This window comes from Homo sapiens, chromosome 1, assembly GCF_000001405.40.
Source record: "Homo sapiens chromosome 1, GRCh38.p14 Primary Assembly".
NCBI classification, from domain to species: Eukaryota; Metazoa; Chordata; class Mammalia; order Primates; family Hominidae; genus Homo; species Homo sapiens.
In genome coordinates this window covers 92154822-92179027 of record NC_000001.11, presented here as the reverse complement: position 1 = coordinate 92179027, position 24206 = coordinate 92154822, and the positions used below count along the sequence as shown (strand labels likewise).

General features: G+C 36.4%; 1 protein-coding gene across 6 annotated transcripts in view; it reads right to left on the bottom strand.

Moving 5' to 3' along the window:
* The window catches only part of BTBD8 (BTB domain containing 8), a 104379-nt gene that overhangs the window by 5696 nt on the left and 74477 nt on the right, over nt 1-24206 (bottom strand). For 2 of the 6 annotated variants that reach the window (XM_047418461.1, XM_047418464.1), the window contains exons 10-16: nt 11888-12070; nt 11034-11180; nt 10033-10162; nt 7568-7629; nt 1482-2199; nt 1130-1217; nt 577-716 (exon numbers count right to left, since the gene is read on the bottom strand). In XM_047418461.1, the coding sequence (XP_047274417.1) occupies nt 577-716; nt 1130-1217; nt 1482-2199; nt 7568-7629; nt 10033-10162; nt 11034-11180; nt 11888-12070 (1468 nt within the window). Of the gene's footprint in view, nt 1-576; nt 717-1129; nt 1218-1481; nt 2200-3778; nt 3966-7567; nt 7630-10032; nt 10163-11033; nt 11181-11887; nt 12071-24206 lie in introns of those variants that run through there. The other 4 variants (NM_001376131.1, XM_047418466.1, XM_047418474.1 and 1 more) reach the window with 3 other exon arrangements.

Below are 24206 nucleotides of genomic sequence, written 5' to 3'. Positions count from 1 at the left end.
GTGATCCACCCGCCTTGGCCTCCCAAAGTGCTTGGATTACAGGCGTGAGCCACCGCGCCTAGCCTGCACTATTACTTTTTATAGAGCTCTTTAGTGCCAGTTTTACAAATGAAATTCCTATAATTATCAATGGAACTTTCAAGAAACATGGGCATAATATTTAAAAGGACCAGAAATGCAGATAAATTAGTGACTCCCTTAATTATTTCTCTCACAAAAGACAATGAAAACCAAACAGAGGCCAGGTGTGTTGACTCATGCCTGTAATCCCAGCACTTTGGGAGGCAGAGGAAGGAGGACTGCAGTGTGATCATGCCACTGTACTCCAGCCTGGGTGACAGAGCAAGACCCTGTCTCAACAATAACAACAACAGAACAACAAAAACCAAACCTACATCCCAAAACACCTGTCTGAAAAGTAAAAGTTTACAATCTCATCTCTATGGTGTGAAACAAACATAAAATGAGTAAAACCATATTTTGCTTATTTGCTACTGAAGTTGCAAATCAGAGTTTGGCTTATCCAGTTTACACAAGGAAATAATTTCAAGATATCCAGTACTATTTCAGCTTTACCTTGAGTTTTAGTAAGATTAGATGGGGTACTCTTTGTCCTCTGCTGAGCTGCAGTACATCCATTGCTAGTTCCTCTTTTCTTCAAAATTGCCTGTGGTACTGGCTCACTACATCCTTTGCCACTGACTTTCTTTAGTACACTAAAAAAAATTATTTGCATTCAGTATTACACTTAGATTCCAAAACATGAACTTTTTAAAAGACCAATACCTGAAACAGTTTTTTTCAAGAAATAAAAAATACATCTCTCCTGAAAATAGAAAAATCATATGCTCATAAGTCTTTTTAAGTTTATAAAACTGTAGATCAAGTATAATAAAGCAAGGTATAATCATATGCCATAGTACACATTAATATATTCTTTTAAATATTGTGCCTCAATCATTTTGCATATACTAATTTCTTTTAATAAATAAAAAACTGTGTTAAAATATTATGTAAATACATTAACAAAAAATAAAAGATATTTTAAAAATATTTAGCTAGCAGTTAGTATATAATTAACTTTGAGAGAAAGCTAACAGATAGGTTAAAACACTGAATGAAGACCTACCTGTTATTTACATTAGTGTCTTGTTCATGAATACTTTTTTTATTGGAAGTTCCATTGGTAACTCTTGAAACAGGTCGAGATTTTATGGCTATAAATTAAGAAAAAGTGAGTCATAAGAGAGAATACATTAAATATGTAACAAACGTGTAAGTTTACTGGTTAGACACTATAAACAAAATGAAATATTAAAGTGGGAAGGACTACCATTTTCTCTGTTTGCATAAGTACATATACATAAGTATTCTGTTGGCATCTGAAACTAAATAAAAGCCCAAATACAGGTTTAGGTTTTTGTTTTTTGAAGGAAATTTAACTGTCAGGAGATATTAAAAATTACAGTGCTAAAACCCACCTACAGTGGAATTTTTGACACTATCTACACTGTTTTTCATCATCTGTCCTGGAGAATCACAAAAGGATAGTTTATGTCCAGAAGGCTTTTCTTCTTCTGTTGATCCATTTTCTTTCGGTTCATCCAGACATTCAGTGGAAATTGAGAATTCCATACTTGAATCTGTGGATCTGCTGGAGGGTCCTGCGATGCTGAGGCATGGTGAATCCTTCCCTGTAGCTTTCTTCAAAGGCTTTGCTTTGGCTTGCACATTTAAGTTTCCTGTGAGTACCTTGGGTCTGGCACCTGAAATTTGCCCTTCCTGATTTCTCACTCCTTTTCCATTTAGTAAATTCTTCTGTCCAGTTGCTGCTGCTGCTGCTGTTGCTGATCTTTCTACAACTTGTCTAGGTGACATGTTTTCCAACCGTGCCTTATCACCATTTTCTGTTTTGGATTTTGTTACAGTTTTGGGCTTTCCAGAAACATTTTTTCCCCCAGTTTTTAGTTCTTTTGTAATCTTAGATGCTATTTTTGTACCATCTTTTTCCTTTACATCATCTTGCTTCAGAGTTTTATTTATACTATTTCTATTGGTACTTGACGAATGTCCAGATGCTCCTAATCCATCAGATTTCATCTTTTTATTAGTAGAGAGATAACTCCAACACTCTTTCTTGTTATTTCCCCTCCAAGATTTGATTTTTATATCACCAGAGTCAGAAACTTGTTTCCTTTGCTATAAAAAAGAAAAAAAATACTTTGTAATTTGACTGAAATCTTTAACATATAATATTTTATGTTTCCAAAAGCCAGTCTTTCAAAGAAAAAAAATAGAAAAGTTCATATTATGATTTAAGGTCAAAGCTTGAACTGTCTTTGATCATTTGGATCAAAACTTTGTCTTAGATTACCGTAATCAAATCTGAAATACAGCATAAGTGTTTATTTTAAAGGCATGCTATTCTATCTATTAAAGTAAATAAATAAATAAAAGGAAGGCTTTTTTAATGTATGAAGTTTTGATAGAGATTAATGTCTATAAAGATTCAGGATGCCCTGAGGAATGATAATATCCATGATTTTTTAGAAGGCTTACTCCCATGTTTTATACTACATCTTTTGTATACATCATCCCACTTAATCCTCACAACAGTCCCATGAACTAGCTCCTGTGGCTGTTTCTATTTCTTAGACAAGAAATTGAGGATTAAAGTAGGTATGTGATTTACCCCAGGTCTCAGGCTGATGAGGGATGGAATCAGGACTTGAGCTCATTTTTTAACCTCACACCGAAGTCATCTATATAGCATAATTTGAGGGACATTATAAAGATTTTCAATAAAAATTCTCTCTTCAACCTTATTCCAAGTGCCAGAAATTTTATCATTAAAGACTTAATCCTCTGTGGGAAGAATCCTTTACTTCTTGGAGTCCTTATTTAAAAAAATTTTTTTTTAAAAGCTCCTAGGAAGCACAGCACATCAATACACTACATCTGCAAAGCTTGGTTTTTGGACAAATAAGATACTAGTATAGCACTGGCTGGCTATAGGAAGCGAAGGAAAAGGGATCCTAAAAATAGCTGAAATAGGCTAAAAAGGGACAAATAAAATGGCACTGAAGATAAACATACCTACTTCATCATTTTCCTTAGAACCAACCTTGATATGAAAGGGAACAAAGAAAATTTTTAAGTTGGTAGAAATTCTAGGATAATATTTTAAGATCATATTGTCATTCTTTTTTTTCTTTCTTTTTTCTTTCTTTTTTGAGACAGAGTCTTGCTCTGTCACCCAGGCTGGAGTGCAGTGGCCCAGTCTTGGCTCACTGCAACTTCTGCCTCCTGGGTTCAAGCAATCTCCTGCCTCAGCCTCCTGAGTAGCTGGGACTATAGGCACATGCCACCACACTTGGCTAATTTTTTTGTATTTTAGTAGAGAGAGGGTTTCACCGTGTTGCCCAGGCTGATCTTGAACTCCTGAGCTCAGGCAATCCACCCGCCTCGGCCTCCCAAAGTGCTAGGATCACAGGCATGAGCCACTGTGCCCGGCCAATATTGTCATTCTTTTTTTTTTTTTTTTTTTTTTGAGATGGAGTCTTGCTCTGTTGCCAGGCTGGAGTACAGTGGCACGATTTCAGCTCACTGCAACCTCCGCCTCCCAGGTTCAAGCAATTCCCCTGCCTCAGCCTCCCGAGTAGCTGGGACTACAGGCATGCGCCACCATGCCCAGCTAATTTTTGTATTTTTAGTAGAGACGGGGTTTCACCATGTTGGCCAGGATGGTCTTGATCTCTTGACCTCGTGATCCACCCACCTCAGCCTCCTAAAGTGCTGGGATTACAGGTGTGAGCCACCGCGCCCGTCCTATTGTCATTCTTTATGTAAGTATGCAAACGGTTTTTTTTTTCCTTTGGAAGCTGTATGAGATTGTAGAGGTCTGAGGCAGAGCCTGTGCTCTCTTCATCTTTTGTATCCCTCGGCACCATGTCACATATTGGATACTCAAAAAACAAACAAACAAAAAACGTAATCAATGTTGTTAATGCTGGGCATATATTGCATATTTTGATATGCAGTTTAAGGTCTATTTTTAAATATGAAAAGCTTCCAATTACATTAAAAGCTGTCAAAGATAAAATAACATATATGAATGTGGGTGCACACAAAAAAATACACAATAAATAACTTGGTTAAATTTAGAAAAAAGGAAAGCACGGTGATAAAACAACCACTAGATTCTTGTCCTAGTTTTGCTTCTAACCAGCCTGGGACATTTCAGAAATTATTAACAGCTTTGGGTCTCAGCTTATGCCTGTCCACAGCGTAGAGACTGGTCCTATTCACAGCAGTCTTCTAGGATTCTAACATTTAAAACGTTCAGATAGGCTTGGTCCTCATTTTTTGTTTTCTTGCTCAAATCTTAGCTCAAAAAAAAAACATTTCTCTATTTTTAATACCTAAAACCAGGCTGACTTCTGCTTTTAGAACTCCTTCCCACCCTTAACACTGAATCTACTTAATTTATTCTATCCTTGAATTTATGCATCTTGAAGTATTACGCTATGGGTGAAATCTATATAGTATATGGTATAGCTGTATGCCTTGAAAAATTTCACAATAGGCCAGGTGCGGATTGCTTGAGCCCAGGAGTTTGAGACCAGCCTAGGCAACATGGCAAAACCCCGCCTCTACAAAAAAAAATACAAACATTAGCCAGGCATGGTAGCTTGGGCCTATGCCTGCTATTCAGGAAGCAGAGGTGGAAGGATCCCTTGAGCCCAGAAGGTCAGGGCTGCAGTGAGTTGTGATTGTGTCACTCCACTCCAGCCTGGGTGACAGAGTGAGACCCTGTCTCAAAAAATAGGAAAAATTAAACATAATCATAAGAGGACAGAAGAGTATAATGAATCCTCACGTACCTAATAGCCAGCTCTAAAAATTATTAATTCATTATTAATTCCAATTTTATTTCATACACACCCACCCCCATTTTATTTTGAAGCAAATCCCAGATATCATATATTTTATCCTTAAGTATTTTGGTACTAAGCATTCTTCTTAAATCGCTCTATGAAGGAAAAATGAAGCAGGCAACAACAACCACCACCACAACAAAACAAACAAACAAAAAACCTCTTTCCCTGTCTTATCTGATTAACTTTCTCCCACCTCCTAGATAGCTCATCCCTGTTTGGAAAACACATTTATTTGCTCCACATTTATTGAGCACTTACTACATACCAGATAATTGCACATAAATTATTTCACCTAATTTTCACAATAATCCTGCTAGGTTTTATTACTCCATTTTATAAATAAGCAAACTAAGACTCACAGATGACACATAATAAATGCAAAGCCAAAATTTGAACTCTTTTGATTTTGTGTCCAGCATCCATTTCAGCATATCACTGTCTTTCTGGGGGAAACTTCCTTCCTTCCCATTGTTCTTAACAGAAAAAAGACTTAGACAACCACAAAGTCAGGAGGATGAGGAAAAATAATGAAACTTTGTTCTATTCTGCAGTAAGGCAAGGAAGGCAGAAAAGCCTGGTGAGTAGCAGGGGATAGGAAGGCAAGTAGGCTAATTCCTGGGGGCCTTTAAAAAACACGGGGATAACAGGGAACACAGAAAAAAATGTCCTAGTGCACCATTTCCTAGAGTATGTTCTGTGGAATCGTATAATATGCTTTAAAAGGGTTGTCGGGACCCTAGTCGTATTCCATAGCTATAACATTGGGGAAAATTTTGGATGCAACAATTCAAAAGTATTCTTTAGTGTTTCTCAGCACTTTCAAGGTATAATATGCATCGTCGGTCTATAAAGAGTTGCTATGGGGTTGGGCGTGGTGGCTCACGCCTGCAATCCCAGGACTTTGGGAGGCCGAGGCGGGCAGATCACCTGAGGTCGGGAGTTCGAGACCAGCCTGAACAACATGGAGAAACCCCATCTCTACTAAAAATACAAAATTAGGCAGGCATGGTGGCACATTCCTGTAATCCCAGCTATTTGGGAGGCTGAGGGAGGAGAACTGCTTGAACCTGGGAGGCGGAGGTTGTGGTGAGCCGAGATCATGCCATTGCACTCCAGCCTGGGCAACAAGAGCGAAACTCCGTCTCAAAAAATAAAAAGAGGAGCTATGGTGTGTAGCTACTCTCCAACTTATAGTTGATGCTAGATGGAGCTCGTATCTTGTGAAACCCACTTTGGAAACAATCCTAAGAGGTTAATTGGCAAAAACTCCAGTCTCCCAGTTTCTCACTCAAGACATTTGGAGCTTGACCTCTTCCTCAAGCCATGACAACTCTCAGTTGTGGCTTGGAGCTGCATTAGTTCCTATCAACTGGCTGATGAGGAAGAAAAAAGGATTTCCTATTCCACTCTGCTAGGGCAATACGTTCATTGCATTCCAAACTGGAACTCTCAATGTATGTCTATCATTGTACCACACAGAGGTTAGAATAATTTTGTACTTTGAATATATTATTGGTTAAGTGAACATCTGTAAGTCAGCTAGGAACCCTAACCATAATTAATAACATTTTTGGGAAGACAAATTTATTTCAGGTTATAAGAAAAACACCAAATAACCTTGTGGGTGGTCAAAAACAAACAAACAACACACAAAACATGAAATCTACCATCTTAACCATTTAATACACTTAAGTACTCTTTAATACACTTCAGTAACAGTGTAGTAATGTTAGCTGCATGCACTTCGTTGCACAACAGAAAACTTTTCATCTTGCAAAATGGAAACTCTGTACTCATTGAACAACTCCCCCTTTCTCCCTCCCTCTAGTTTTCAGCAACCACAATACTACCTTCTAAGAATTCAACTACTTTAGATACCTCATAAAAGTATACCAAGTAACTTTTAAAGTAAAACACAGTTGTACTCTTAGTACTAATTGCTTTTTTCAAAAACACCAAAAATACATTATGTGAATTAAAATCTTTTTTTTTGTTTGAGATGGAGTTTCGCTCTTGTCACCCAGGCTGGAGTGCAATGGTGCAATCTCATCACACTGCAACCTCTGCCTCCCGGGTACAAGCAATTCTCCTCCCTCAGCCTCCCGAGTAGCTGGGATTACAGGTGTGCACCACCATGCCTGGCTAATTTTTGTGTATTTAGTAAAGATGGGGTTTCACCATGTTGGCCTGGCTGCTCTCGAACTCCTGACCTCAGGTGATCCATCCGCCTCGGCCTCCCAAAGTGCTGGGATTACAGGCGTGAGCCACCATGCCTAGCCTAAAATCTTCTTTTTTAAGAAGTAGGCTAATTAGAAAAACAGACATTGAATTAGGTCTAGAGTTCTAAACAACTTCTAATAGACTGAAATAGCTCTAATACGTTAGCTGCCAAAAAGGTTTTCAAGGAAATGAAAAAGGTAGATACTTCCAGTGCCAACTGGATATAAAAAATTCACTTTAAAACATTTATTAAATGTTCACTTGATTTAGAAAAAGAAAAATTTTCCATTAAGAAATAGCTTCAATTAATGAATAGATTTTTAAAACTTTTTCTGAAATATAAAATAATAAGCTTTAAATAATTTGTTATCTTTTTCATTTGTACCTATAAAATTTAGAAAGTTTACCTGCGAGCTACTGAATATAGGCTTTTTGCCAAGTCTTCGATCATCACCTTTGTCAAATGCAGCTGTAGAAAGAAACAGCAATTTGTTTTTATAAGGAACATTATTATTACCTTAGAAGTAAAGGAAAAATAGTATGTCAGTAGAAAAAAGGTTATATTTTGATGGAAATAACTTAATAAACCTGAAACCAATCTAGTATACAAAACAACTCCCTATTATATTTTAGAATTTTTTTAAAAGAACCTCATTTTCTATCTTATTCTCTGGCCCCTAGGTTTTATGTTATTAAAATTAATAAATAAGAACTGTACAATCTCACAGAGAAGATTCATACATTTAGAAAAACATGAGAATTTTCTCAAACTGTGACATTTTAGATAATTGGTTTCATTTAGTTCTCCAAATTACAAAAAATTACAGATTATAGCAAATGTAACATTCTACAAGCTATTAAATATGAGAAAATGTTTATACTAAATGTAAAAATACTCTTGAAATTAAAAATATTTTCTGGTTTTGCAGATATATAATGAGGAAGGAGGAAAGAGAAAATAAAAAAATAAGGTTCTACTGAAAATAAAATAAGAATCTTCAAAATATTCTTTTTATAATTAAATAAAAATTCATTTTATAAGTTAGGTTTATATGGGAATTTATTGCAGAACTCATGTCTATGCTCTTCAAATAAGAATTTGAATGTCAGGAAAATATGTAGGCTGGAATAATTATATGAGAGCTACAAATATAGTTTAGCAAATGTATTTCTTTTGAAGGTTACTGGGATTTAAGACATATTTTGAAGAAATATATACAATCTCTGAAAATTATTTGATTTTTATTAAATCAGCTAATAAAAAATACATTAAATTATCTGTAACTACCATGCATCTTCCATGATCTCTATTCTATAGGATATGTGCTATAAGACAAAGCAGGATCCTGAAAATGGCACTATAGGACTGATTTGCAGTAAGCAAATGACTCTGCACAATAATACACAGGAAGAAATTAAACTAAAAAATTTCTCCCAAAGGTCAGTAACTCAACTATGACATACGAAATGTAGTAACAGACAACCCAGAACCATTCCTTTATCTGGGTTTCCCAATGAAGTAATTATGCATAAGTCAGAACTCATTATAATTCAACTTATTTAAGATTAAAACATTATTATTACACTGATATAATGTAACAGAACGAAAAGTCCTTTTTGACAATTCAAAAAGGATTGTTGGATTAGCTGGATAGTTGGATTACCAATAACATTTTATTTAAATATGGGTATTTACATGTATTTTTAATTAGCACTTTGAAGAATTAAAGAACACAGAAGCTCAACTTAACTATGAAATCCTCTAAAATAGAGAAAACCAAAGTTTGCTACTAATCGGAAGAGAGCTGAAGACACCTACTGAAGGAATGCTGATCTTATCTTGTTACTTTACATTACATAAATTTTGTAAAAATAAACCATCATTTAAAAATCAGCACAGAAATAGTCACAAGGAAAAAAATGTCCAATTTCTAAGAGATTCTTCTCATAATTTTTGTTTAAAATAATGGAATTTCTTTGAAAAGTGCTCTTCATATCACATCTAGCTACACTATCATGTAATGCTTATAATGTAAAAGCAGATCCTATTCTGATGATACCACTAAAGAATTTAAATATTTATGCATTCTCAAAATATATTTTAACAGACATGGCTTCCATGTTTACAGTACTAAAATGTTTGCTTCATAAAATTCAGTCTCTTAAAATGTTTTAAAAAGTATACACACTGAATATGCCAATATTTTATCTAAGGCACCTGCTTTAACCCAAAAATAGTCATGAAGACATTTTCAGTTCCACACCCTCAAATTTTTATTTTGATATTTTTTTTAAACACATGTTCTGAGCAATATACATCTTTTGTTTAATGCTAATGTTTCAGATGATACCTATTAAATGTCACAGACCACTGTGCAGCTCCTGAGGGACAGTCCGCAATAGCACACTCCACATCATTGAACCAATCAGTTGTGAAATAAAGCCATCTATTCCAGGCAAAACCACAAGAAAGGGTGTCTTATGAAAAAGATGGAAAAGCTTTATGACAAAACATATTTAAAAAGGAGGAAAAAGTATGTTCGATACTCTGTTCTATGTGGGTTACATTTTCTTACACTTTTAATCTCTTCACAAGAATGCTTGTAAGCAAATTTGCCTAGAACATTGTTGCTAATGTATAGTAAGATTAGAAACATATATATATATAAAGGAAATGAGTTTCATTTTCTAAGAACAGCTAAAAAGCATGATTTATTAAAACTGCCTAAACATATGAGCACCAGTTTCAGTTATCCTATTATCCAACAGAAGCACACAAATGTTAACCTTTTCACTTATCAGAATGCCCTCAAAATATCTGCTGTCACAATGATCATTACATAAGAATTGAAATATCTCAAGGCTAACGTACCTGCTTGGATTTTCTGTTGATCATCTGTGCTCATCAGCTTCCAGCTTTCTGTGTGACGAACAGCATAGAAAGACTGAACCAGGAAGATCCACAGCTTATCACGCAGAGCCTGGATCTTGCACGTAAAACCCTGTGTTCAAGCAACAAATCAGCAGCTGGTGAGAGCCACATTGTCATAGCAACCAGTCATTATTCCTTTCAGAATCTACTTACTCCTAAGCTAGATCAATGATGTCATCATTTAGATTTTTAAGATCGTTGGGTACATGTTATTTATGAAGACTTATTAATAACAAAATTTTATAAATGAACACAAAGCTAAAAAATCTCATCTTTTCAACCAAATGTTATTTTAAAACACCAATGCCCTTGATATGAACACCTTCCACAGCCTTTTCATATCAACTATGACATTACAAGGTCAAATGCTCTATGGAATAGTAATAAATATGATACATTTTAAAAACCATTCTTGTCGAACAAATACAGAATGCCAATAATTTGTAATTACCTAATTAATGGCCACTGATTAATTGTATTTAAAAATAAATATTTTAATTTTGCTTCCCAGCCTAATTTTAAAATATGATTTTTTGAAGAGAAAAATTAAGATTATAAAAATAAAAGACACTGATGATTAAAAACTCTAAAATATACATTTATATCTAAAATATACATTTTATATCTAGAAAATTTACTGTAGGACCAGGGAGAAATACGAGAGTTATGCTGTGCCAAATAATGTTGCTAAATATCACACTAAATTTAAAATTACCCAGCCAAACTGCCAATTTCTAAACTTTTATAAGAAGTCCATTTGGAGACAAACGGAATTTTTAAAATTTAGTATTATAAAAAATTCCAAACATATACAAAAGTAGAGACCTTAATCCACCCCTAGGTATCCACTGCCTAGCTTCAATGACCCTGCAACATTTAAAATGCACATACATCTAAAAATCTTAGTTCAAATATTGCATTATTTTAATAAATTTCATTACATTCAGTACCATTTCCTTTGTACTGTCAGAGTTCAGCAGTGTGTCCAGAGCCATAAGAAGAGAGCAGCTATTTTCAGTGGTGATATTTTCTTCAATTGCTTTTAAAATTGTGTCCAACAGATCGGCTGTGCTGCTCATTGCTTGTGACTATAAAACACAGAAATTAATATTTAAGAGGAATACATATAAAATGCACAAGAAATGTGAAAGTCTGGCGTAACAGATCATTATAACTAGCTGTATGAAGTCAACCAGAAATCGTATTTTTTCCCTTTGTTAAAAAATTCGCATATATGCATATGCACGCAGCTTTTATTTTTATTTATTTATTTTTATTATACTTTAAGTTCTAGGGTGCATATGCACAACGTGCAGGTTTGTTACATATGTATACATGTGCCATGTTGGACACACAGTTTTTAAAAGCCAACATAGCCCTAAATACAGAACCTAGAAATAAACAATAGGAGTTATTCTGTGAATAATTTTAGAGAAAGTAGCTTCCCAATAAGACAGAGAATTCTGCATGGATCATAATTGTATTACTGGCCAAAACAGTACCTTTATGACTTTGGTTTCTAAAATGTGGCTTGCTGAGGGAGGGCTAGAGTTGGCCAGAATTACACTGTGCCTTGCCAGGGCACTCAAACCTGTCCCTCTCGCCTTTCTCATCTTGTGAGCCAAATATCCTGTCCATCACTGCCTTAAATCCTATGTAAACATGCCATCTGCTATGGAGTTTATTTAAATCACATTAATTTAATCAAAAGCAACCTGCATTTAAAAGCTCTTACATAATTGAAATCAGAACACAAAGATGGAACTAAATATAGGATATAATTTAGGCATAGTACCTGTAAAAGAAGAGCAAAATTTTCACTCTGAATAATCTTGGAGAAGTTGTCTACAATAAATGCAATACATTTTTCTTGAAGCTGAGACGCCATGGTCAGTGCTGCTTCCGTCCACTTCACTCTGGGTAAACTGATGATTAGCCTGTCACTTTCCATCAGAAGAAAAGCAGCATTCTTATCATTCTTAGATTTAAAAAAAAATTGGAAAGTTAGATGCTATTACTGCTAATAAAATAACTCTCTAAGCAAATCAAATACTTTTGTTGTTATGGGATGTTTCCTGCAAAAACAAAATTCCAGGTAGCTAATGTCTTTGTTATTAGTTTTACATATAATGTTTATTCATTAATTCAGAATTATTCAAAAGGGTAAAGTTTGAGCTAGGAAGAAACCACCTTTAAAAGGTAGCTAAAAGAGGTGGGGTACAGTGGCTCATTCCTATAATCCCAGTACTTTGGGAGGCTGAGGCGGGTGGATCACTTGAGGTTAGGAGTTCAAGCTCAGCCTGGCCAACATGGTGAAAACCCACTTCTACTAAAAATACAAAAATTAGTCAGGCATGGTGGTGCATGCCTGTAATCTCAGCTACTCGGGAGGCTGAGGGAGGAGAGTTGCTTGAACTCAGGAGGCGGAGGTTGCAGTGAGCTGAGATCGCACCACTGCACTCCGGCCTGGGTGACAGAGCAAGACTCCATCTCAAAAAAAAAAAAAAAAAAGAAAGAAAAGAAAAGTAGCTAAAATAAACCTGATAGCAAAGTGATAATAACTAGAAAGAAAAATTTGAGTTCCCTAAGATTATCACTACTAAATTAATTTTTGTGCTTATAGATATCATTTATAACTGCATGGCTACACCAGCATAGCACTAATTCTTTTCTGACTACAAAATATGTTTCTTTATGCAAATTTGGAAAGACTAAAAATTACTTATAATCCCCAGGGATTTTCCTCCTCTTCTCTAATTAGGTTAAGACTCTACTGTTTATATTTTATTCATTTCATCATTCATTACTATGGAAAAAAACATTCACAAATATTGATCTCTATGGAAAATGGAATGACAATGAGCAAATACCATGTACTCCACAGAAAAGGAAAAAAGGCAACTTATATATTACTGTCTCTTATTCATGTTTGATTTCCAGTTCTTAAAACAATGCTTAGTAAATAACTATTTATTAATTAGTTACTTGATAGACTGGTAAATTGAAAAATATGGCCACAAATTCCATCCACCAAGAGGTGGAATCTATCTCCTCAGTCTTGAATCTAGACTACTAGCCTTCTCACTTGCCTTAACCAACAGTGGTGATGTGCAAGTTCTAGAGCCTAGGCCTCAAGAAGCCTTGCAGCTTCAGTCTACCTTCTGAGAATCCTGGGACCACCAGACCAAAGAGGCCTAATAGGGAAGACCAGCCCCCCAGCTCAGCCCCCAGCTGAATGCAGCCGCCACAGGCAAGACCAGCAGAAGAATCACCCAGTGAACTCACAGAATTGTGGAGTTGTTTTAAGCTGCCAAGTTTGGGTGTGGTTTGTTACACAGCAATAGATCATTGATAAATCTGGAAATGACTGAAATACCTAACATGGACAGCATGATGTGGACTCTGCACAGCCTCTGTTTTTTTTTTTTTTAGGTCCAGAAGCACTACATCTTCCCTGATACCATATATCTACATCAGATTTCTTTTATACACACTATAAGAAAATCTGTTGCTTTTTGTTAGAGCATTTAATTCATTTGTAATTAATCAAACATGAACATTACTATTTAATGTCTGTCTCCCTCACTGGGCTGTATGTTCAATGAGTGTAAAACTACCTCTGTTTTAGCTCACCAATGTATCCTCAGGGCCTAGTATAAAACTGGGTCATAGTAGACACTAAAATTTATTTGCTGATCTTTTAATATGATTGGTGACAGAGTCTATCAGTCAATCTCTAAGATAACAAGTTTAATCTTTCAACTTCAAAACTAAAAATTTTAACCATTTACTAATAATTCTTTTTTTTTTTTTTTTGACACAAGTCTTGCTCTGTCACCCAGGCTGGAATGTAGTGGCTTGAACATGGCTCACTGCAGCCTCAAACTCCTGAGATCAAGTGATTCTCCTGCTTCAGCCTTTCAAGTAGCTGAAACCACAGGTGCATGCTACCACACCCAGCTAATTTTTTTTAAAAAAAGTACTGGCCAGGTGAGGTGGCTCACACCTGTAATCCCAGCACTTTGGGAGGCTGAGGTGGGCAGATCACAAGGTCAGGAGATTGAGACCATCCTGGTCAACACGGTGAAACTACAAAAATATAAAAAATTAGCTGGGCGTGGTGGCGGGCACCTGTAGTCCCAGCTACTTGGGAAGCTGAGGTAGAAGGATGGCATGAACCCGGGAGGCAGAGCTTGCAGTGAGCCAAGATCGCACCACTGCACTCCAGCCTGGGGGACAGAGCAAGACCCCGCCATGTGAAACAGGGTCTTGCTCTGTCACCCAGGCAGGAGTGCAGTGGTGCGATCTCAGCTCGCCGTAACGGGGTCTCGCTCTGTCACCCAGGCTGGGGTGCAGTGGTGCAATCTCGGCTCACTGTAACCTCCACCTCCCCAGTTCAAGCAATTTTTGTGCCTCAGTCATGCAAATAGCTGGTATTACAGGTGCACGCCACCATGCCCAGCTAATTTTTTGTATTTTTAGTAGAGATGGGGTTTCACCATGTTGGTCAGGTTGGTCTGAAACTCCTGGCTTCAAGTGATCCACCCGCCTTGGCCTCCCAAAATGCTGGGATTACAGGTGTGAGCTACCACGCCCAGCTCTAAAAAATTTTGTAGGGATGGAGTCTTGCCATGTTATCCAGGCTGGTCTTGAACTCTTGGCTTCAACTGATCCTCCCACCTCGGCCTCCCAAAGTGCTGGGATTACAAGTGTGAGCCACTGCATCCAGCCAATAATCCTTTAAAAATGTATTATATTCTCCCACTGCTTTGAGTAAAATTTTAAAAAGTCATACTTTGCTATAATTCGTCTAATTTTTAGGACCATTGTCGTTTCCTCTTCCAGTGACTTCCTGAGTAACTGTACAATTACTAAGAGTTTTAGACAATAAGCTCAATTTGTTCTACTGCAGGCACTGCTCTGGTAGGGAAGCCAAATGTAAGGTATTTAAATAAATTTGGCAGGTATCTACAAAGTGCTTACTATATACATAATGTGATGTGCTCTGACAGTAGCATTTTTTTAAAAACCACAGATATAGAGTATAATTGTCATAATTTAGCTTGGAAAACTACAATATGGACATAGTTAAATAACATAGATGATACATGATCTTATTCCATACTCATCTGAATATATGATAAACATTAAATGTTAGAGTACCTCGAGATTCAAAGAAACAGAAGTAATACTTTCAGACCAAACACTTAAATTTTAATTCAACAGTTAACACAACGACAGTTTAAAAATTTCAAATGTAGGGCAATCTGCTCGGGTCCCCTTCCACACTGTGGAAGCTTTGTCCTTTCGCTCTTCACAATAAACAATAAACCTTGCTATTGCTAAAAAAAAAAAAATTTTCAAATGTATAAAGGACATTCTAGGAAAAGTCTTCCTCTCCTTCCTGTCCCCAAACCATCCATTTTACAACCAATATTATTTTTTCCCTTATCTTTCCAGTTATTTTATGCATATACAAACAAAACATATATGTAATTTTCTTATTTTATACAAATGAAGGCATTAATATGCACAGTACTCTGTATCTTGCCTTTTTTTTTTTTTTTTTTTTTTTTTTTTTGAGACAGAATCTCTCTCTGTTGCCCAGGCTGGAGTGCAGTGGCGTGATCTCGGCTCACTGCAAGCTCCGCCTCCCGGGTTCACGCCATTCTCCTGCCTCAGCCTCCCAAGTAGCTGGGATTACAGGTGCCTGCCACCACACCCGGATAATTTTTTGTATTTTTTAGTAGAGACGGGGTTTCACCGTGTTAGCCAGGATGGTCTCGATCTCCTGACCTCGTGATCTGCCTGACTTGGCCTCCCAAAGTGCTGGGATTACAGGCATGAGCCACCGCGCCTGGCCCTGTATCTTGCCTTTTACACTTAGCACACATCTTGAATATTTTTCTTACCAGTGTATATATATATATTTGTTTTAATAGCCATGTCATAGTCCATAATATAGATATATCACAAGTCATTTAACCAGTCCTCTACTTAAAGACATTTACATTGTTTCCAGTTTTGCTATGATGTCGTAATGACTTACCTTGTATATAACATTATTTCACAAATATGTGAAAATATCTACAAGATACATTTCTAGAAGTAGAATTGCTGGGTCAATACTACTTCTCTTAACCTGGGTTCTGCCTAAAAATTGAGCCTGAGAAACAGGCTTATATGCAGTTTATTTGTGAAGTGATCCTGGGGGATCTGAGGTGCTGGAAGAGTGCAATAGGGAAGAAAGGAAGAAAAGCCAATTCAAGGGTGTATTTTCTAGCTCTCTGCTATTCAAAGTGGCATCAGCTAGCCAGAGCCTGTTAGAAATACACAATCTCTGTATCCTCCCTTGACTTACTGAATTAGAATCTGCATTTAAACAAGACCCCCAAGTGTTTTGTAGATACATTAAAGTTCGAAAAACACTAATATAGAATTCACTATTGTAGGCAACTGGGACTCAATCTTGTTGGGGACCTCCTGAAGAGCTATGAAGGACATACTTTGAATTATCCATCCAACAGACAGAACAATGAAATATTAACCACTGGCTCTCATCTCCCATTGGTCAAGGCTTGCCCTCAGGGATGTGAACTCTCTTTCACTGCCAGGTTTGCACAGGTTCAGAATTGCTGAGCTGCAGGTATCTCATGTGGTGTAGCAGTGAAGCCTCAGTACAGAAAGTGAGAAAGATGTGTATGTGATGTGGCTGAGGGAAAGTGCTGTCAGAATCACATCCATGTGCAGCTAGATGCTGCAGCAATAGTTTGAGTACAAACATGGGCCAAGAGGCTATGAGGTGGGACACCAGGGGTATCCAAAACGCTGCCAATATACAATCAATGGAGCACTGTTTTTCAAGTGGTAGATTCCTCCATAGCAACCTAGAGAAATGTATTTAGCGGTTCACAATCAGCACTAGAAAACAAAAGAAAGAAGGGGGTGGGTGGGTGAGGAAGACAAAAAAAGGAAGAAGAAACATAGAAAACACCAGTACATCATATGTAATAAGGCTAAGAGATCTTTTGTGAAACTTGTGTTTCTGTTCTATATGTGTCAGTGTATTGGGTTACAATGAAAACAACAACAAAACAAACAAACAAAAAACATCTTTTTATTCTGGGTCACAGATAAAAAGCTTAGGAAACATAGAAAAAGTTGTGCTAATTTATGACCTTCCCAGGAATAAATCAGAATATTTATCCCATATACTCTTACTAACACAGTGAAAATTTATTTTCATCATTCTGAAAGGTAGAAAATGGTCTGACATGGTAGTTCTCACGTCCACTTCTCTTAAATAAATGAAGTTCAGGATCTGCTCATCAAATTAAGAGGTATCTGTACTTCCTTAGTGAACTATCTAATACTATCCTATGTTTCGCTTTGATTTTTAAAAATCAATTTGTAGAAACTCTCTATATTAGGAAAATTAGTGTTATAAATATCATATGAACTGTTATCTGTCTTTTGACTTGGTGACAAAGAAGGGTAAAAATTTAAAGTTCCTCACACTAAAACATATTTAAAAATTCTCCATGTTATACTCTAATGTAGCAGCACTTTCATATCTCCCTTGATGACAAAGAAATATTTGATGGATTAGAGTACCTTCCATGGCACATGTGGTTGAACTGAATTAGAACTAAAGAAGGCTTAAGAAGACTGCTTGAGGAGAAGTGACATCAGCAAGATGGCAGAATAGGAAGCCCTAAACCCTCCTTCTCCCATGAACACACTGATTCAACAATTAACAAATTCTCTTTGTGAGAAATTGAGAAACTAGTTGAGAGGCTCCTGCACTGAGGATGAGCATGAAACCAGACACTTTGAAGCTGATAGGGAAATATGAGACACACTCTCACCAGAATCCTACCCCTGGCACAGAGCTGTACAACTGGGAAGAAAACCATAAGATCCCAGCTTCTCCCTGGGGAAGGAAAGAGTTAGACCATATGTCAAACATCCCAACTTTTCCAGGGGTTGCCTAGATGACTGATTTCTGTCTTGCAGTCTTGGAGTGCTGATGGGACCCAGCAAACTCTAGCTACCTGGGAAAGAACATAAATGGTGATTTGGGTTGGTAGTCACCATATCTCCTCCTAATGGGACCTAGCATGTCTTAGCCATCTGAGGGCCAATGAGAACAAAGAAGGTAGATGATGTTGCATGCGACTAGTTGCCAGAACCCCTTCACTTGTCTCAGTAGAGAGTGAAGAGCTGGAAAAGCCCCAAATCCCGCCTTCTACTTGGGGCAGGAAGGAGTGTAGAGGAGTATCCAATGACCTAACTTTTCTGGGGGCTAACCAAGGAACTTGACTCAGAGCACTGATAGGACCCAGGATACTCTAGATGCTTGGAAGCCACTAGAAAGAAAGTGAGTTGGACTAGCAAGAAGGTTTGAGAGGCCCTGAATCTCTGGCTGGGCTGATTAGTAAGGGTCTTCTCCTGTATGAGGCCAGTCCATGAGAACTGGAAGAGGTAGCTGTAGGCAGAAATGTGCAGATACAAAGAGAGTCAAGGAAAATGAACAAAGAAATATGTTCCAAAGAACAAAATAAATCTCCAGAAACTGGCCTAAATGAAATTGAGATATATGATTTAGCTCACAGAGAATTCAAAATCATCATCATAAAGATGTTCACACCAAGGTCAGGAAAGTAATGCATGACAAAGTAATAATTTCATCAAAGAGGTAGACAATATTTAAAAAGTGCCAAACAGAAATCATGGAGCTGAAGAATACAATTACTGAATTGAAAAATTCTTTAAAGGTGTTCAACAGCAGACTAGATCAAAGAGAAGAAAGAATAAGCAAATTCAAAGGTCATTGAAATTACTATTCAATCAGAAGAACACAAAGAATGAAAAATAGTAAAGAAAGTTTAAGGCACTATGGGACAATATACACATTACTAAAGTTCCAAAGGAGAAAGGAGAAAAAGTGTCAGAAAATTTATTAAAAGAAATAATGGCCGAAAACTTCCCAAATCTGGAGAAAGAAACAGACATCCACATCCAGGAAGCCCAAAGTACTCCCAAATAAGATGAATCCAAAGAAATCCACAGTGAGACATATAATCAAACTGCCAAAGTAAAAGAGCAAATTTTGAAAGCAGCAAGAAAAAAGCAACTTATGTACAAGAGAATGTTTATAAGACTAAAGGCAGATTTTCCAGCAGAAACCTTGCAGGCAATAAGGGAGTGCAATGATATATTCAAAGTGCTTTTTAAAAACAAACAAACCCTGCCGACCAAGAATACCAAACCTGGCAAAACTGTCCTTCAAAAATGAGGCAAAGATAAAGACAAACAAAAGCCGAGAAAATTCATCACCAGTTGATCTGCCTTAAAAGGAGTTCCAATGGGAATTCTTCAAGTTGAAACAAAAGTACATTAAAAAGCAACATGAGAGCATAAGAAAATATGAAACTCATTGGTGAAGGAAAATATATAAGGCAGGCATGGTGGCTCATGCCTGTAATCCAGGCACTTTGGGAGGCTAAGGTGGGAAGATCACTTGAGCTCAGGAGTTCGAGACCAGCCTGAGCAATATGGCAAAACCCTGTCTCTACAAAAAAATACAAAAAATTAGCTAGCTGTGGTGGCATGCACCTGCAGTCCCAGCTACTTGGGAGGCTGTGGAGCAAGAGGATTGGTTGATCCTATGAAGCTGAGACTGCAGTGAGCCATGTTTGTGCCACTGCACTCCAGCCTAGGCGACAGAGCAAGACCTCATCTCCAGAAAAAAAAAAAAAGAAAGAAAGAAAGAAAAGAAAAATATATGTAAACAAACGAAGAGTAATGAATCACTTATGATTCACTTATGAAGAGTACTGTATCACTTATGGCAGTGAATAAATCACTTAAAGATTTTGGCTGGGCACAGTGGCTCATGCCTGTATTCCAACACTTTCAGAAGCTGAACTAGGTAGATCGCTTGAGCCCAGGAGTTTGAGGCAAGCCTAGGCAACATGGTGAAACCATTTCTCTACAAAAAATACAAAAGTTAGCCACGTGTGATGGCACATGTCTATAGTTTCAGCTACTTGGGAGGCTGAGGCAGGAGGTCAAGGCTGCAGTGAGCTGTGATCATGCCACTGCACTCCAGCTTGGGTGACAGAGTGAGATCCTGTCTTAAATTTTTTTTTTCATTTTTTTAAGCATGGTTTTAGGTTTACAGCAAAACTGAGAGGAAAGTATAGAGATTTCCCATAAGCCCCCTGATCTCACACAATGCACAGCCTCTCTCATTATCAACATTCAACACTAGAGTGGTATATTTGTTACAACTGAATTAATCACTTTTAATTTTTGCATATAAGCTAAAAGATAAATGCATTAAAAATAACTATAACTAAAGAGTATATTAACGAATATGTACTATAGGTAGATATAAATGGTGAAATCAGTAACAGAGTGTATGTGTGGGGGGAGAAGTGTAGAGTTTCTGTGTATGTGGATTGAGCTTAAAATAGACTGTTATATCTATGAGATATTTATGTAGGTCCCATGGTAATTATAAACAAAATACATATAGAAGTTATACCAAAAAAGAGAAAAAAATTTAGTATATCAATATTAAGAAAATAAAGCACAAAGAAAGACAGCAGGAGATAAAAAGAGGGACCAAAGAACTATAAGACAACATAAAATAATAAAATGGCAATAGTAAATCCTTTCCTCTCAATAATTACTTAAAATATAAATAGATTAAACTATCCAATCAAAAGACAGAGTAGCTAAGTGGATTAAAAAACAAGATCCAATGATATACTGTCTACAAGAGACTCACTTTAGATTTAACAACACATTTAGGCTGGAAGTGAAGGAATAAAAAAAGATATTTCATACCAATGGTAATAAAAAGAGTAAGAGTGGCTATACCATATCAAACAAAATAGACCTTAAGTCAAAACTTGTCACAAGAGACACAGACATTATGTAATGATAAAAGAATATGCCAGGAAGATAGGAAGATACAACAATTATAAACATATATGCACCCTGCATCACATTACCTAAATATATAAAGCAAGTATTAATAGATCTGAAGAGAGAGAGAGAAAGCAATACAAAGATAGTAGGAACTTTCAATACACAACTTTTCAATAGTGAATACAACATGTTGGGCACAGTGGCTCGTGCCTGTAATCCCAGAAACTCAGAAGGCTGAGATGGGAGGATCACTTGGGAAAAGAGTGGCCAGGATTTTGAGACCAACCTGGGCAACACAGCAAGACCCTATCCCTACCAAGAAAAAAAAAAAAAGCCAGTGATGATGGCACATGCCTGTAGTTCCAGCTACTTGGAAGGCAGAAGGATCACTTAAGCCCAGGAGTTTGAGGCTGTAGTGAGCTATGATCGTGCCACTGAACTCCAATCTGGGAGACAAAGTGAGACTCCATCTGTTAACTAAATAAATAAATAAGTAAATAAGAATAATGAATACATCAGACAGAAAATCAATGGAGAAATACTGGACTTCAAAAACACTATACACCAAATGGACCTAACATACCTATACAGAACATTCCAACCAACAGGGGCAGAATATACATTCTTCTTAAGCACACACAAAATGTTCTCCAGAATCTATCATGTTCGGTCACAAAATAAGTCTTAACAAAATTAAGACAACTGAAATCATACCAAGCATCTTTTCTGAACACAATGGAATAAAAGTAGAAATCAACAGAAGACTAGAAAATAAACAAATTGTAGAAATTAACACACTTTTGAACAACCAATGGGTCAAAGAAAAGAATCAAAGGATAAATTAGAAGGTATCTTGAAACAAACAAAAACAACAATACAATATACCAAAACTTATGGGATGTAGCAAAAGCAGAACTAAGAGCAAAGTTTATAGCAATAAGTGCCTACATTAAAAACAAAATGATCTGAAAAAAAAACTTTATATTATACCTCAAGGAACTAAAAAAAGAAACTAAGCCTGAAGTTAGCAAACCAACGAAAAAAAAAAATAAATATTAGAGCAGAAATAGAGGATAGAAAAACAGTTTTTTAAAAATAACAAAACTGAGTTGCTTTTTTGAAAAGATAAACAAAATTGACAATCCTTTATACTAAGAAAAAAAGCAGAGAAGATGCAAATAAATATTATACAATCCAAAATGAAAGAGGAGGCATTACAATAGATGACACAAATTAAAATGATCATAAGGGACTGTTATAAACAATTACAAGCCAATAAACAAGGTAAACTAGAAGAAATGGATAAATTCCTAGACACATACAACCTATTAAGGTTGAATCATGAAGAAATAGAAAATCTGAACAGACTGATAATGTGTAGGAGATTGAGCTGTAATAAAAAGTCTCCCATCAAAGAAAAGTCCAGGACTGATAGCTTCATTACTGAATTCTACTGATGGCTTCATTACTGAATTCTGCTAGTTAAAGGAAAGACCTAATACCAATCCTTCTCACACCCTTCCAAAAAACTGAAGAGGAGGGAATATTTCCCTCATTTTACAAGGCCAGCACTACTCTGACACCAAAGCCACATAAGAATACCACAAGAAAAGAAAAATTATAGGCCAATATCCCTGATGAACATAGATGTTAAAATCCTCAACAAAGCACTGGCACACTGAATTCAACAGTACATTATAAAGATAATTCACCATCAACTAGTGGTATTTATTCCTAGGATACAAGGATGATTTAACATATGTAAATCAATTAATGCAACCCACATCATTAACAGCATAGACAGAAGTCAAATGATTATCTCAGTAAATGCAGAAACAGTATTTGACAAGATTCAATTACTTTTCATGACTGAAAACTCTCAACAAGTTAGGAATAGAAGTAAATTATCTCAACATAATAGAGGCCACAAGCCCACTGCTAGAATCATACTCAAGGTTTACCCTGAAAACTTTTAAGTTAATATCAGGAACAAGACAAGGATGCTCATTCTCTCCACTTCCATTCAACATAGTCCTGGAAGCCCTAACCAGAACAATCAGGTATGAAGAAGAAATAATAAGGCATCCAAACTGTAAAGGAAGAAGTAAAATTGTCCCTGCTTGCAGATAACATAATCTTATATATAGCAAACTCTAAACACTTCACCAAAAAACTGTTAAAACAAATTCAGTAAAGATGAAAGCTACAAAATGAACATACAATAATCAGTTGCATTTCAACTAACAACATTAATGACTGAAAAGGAAATTAGAAAAACAATCCCATTTACAATAGCACCAAAGAGTAAAATACTTAAGAATAAACTTATCTAAGAAGGTGAAAGACTTGGCTAAAAACTACAAAACATTGAAAGAAATTAAAGAAGGCACAGCTGGGCACAGTGGCTTATGCCTGTAATCCCAGCTACTTGGGAGGCTGAGGCAGGAGGATCACTTGAGACCAGGAGTTCAAAGTTGCAGTGAGCTATGATCATGCCACTGCATTCCAGCCTGGGCAACAGAGCAAGACCCTGTCTCATAAATAAACAGCTAGACAGATAAAAATTTTAAAAAGAAATGAAAGAAGACAAACAGAAAGACATGCAGTACTCATGGATTGGAAGACTTAATGTTGCTAAAAAGTCCATACTACACAAAGTGATCTATGGATACAATGCAATCTCTATCAAAATCTTGATTGCATTTTTTATAGAAATAGAAAACACAATTCTAAAATTCATACGGAACCACAAAATACCCTGAATAGCCAAATTAATCTTAAGAAGGAAAAAGTTGGAGTGACTTTGATTTTCTGATTTCAAAATATATAACAAAGCTGTAGTAACTAAAACAGTGTGGTACTGGCCTAAAGACAGACATAGAGATCAATGGAACAGAACAGAGAGCCCAGAAATACATCCACATACATAAAACTGCTCTTTAGTAAAGGTGCCAAGAATACACAATGGGTCAGGAAAGTCTCTTCAACAAACAGTGCTGGGAAAACTGGATATCCATAAGCAAAAGAATACAATTTCACCCTTATCGTACAACATACCCAAATATCAACTCAAAATGGATTTAAGACTTCTACCTAAGACCTGAAACTCTAAAACTCCTAGAAGAAAGCTTCATGACATTGGTCTTGGTAATGATTTCACAGATATGATACCA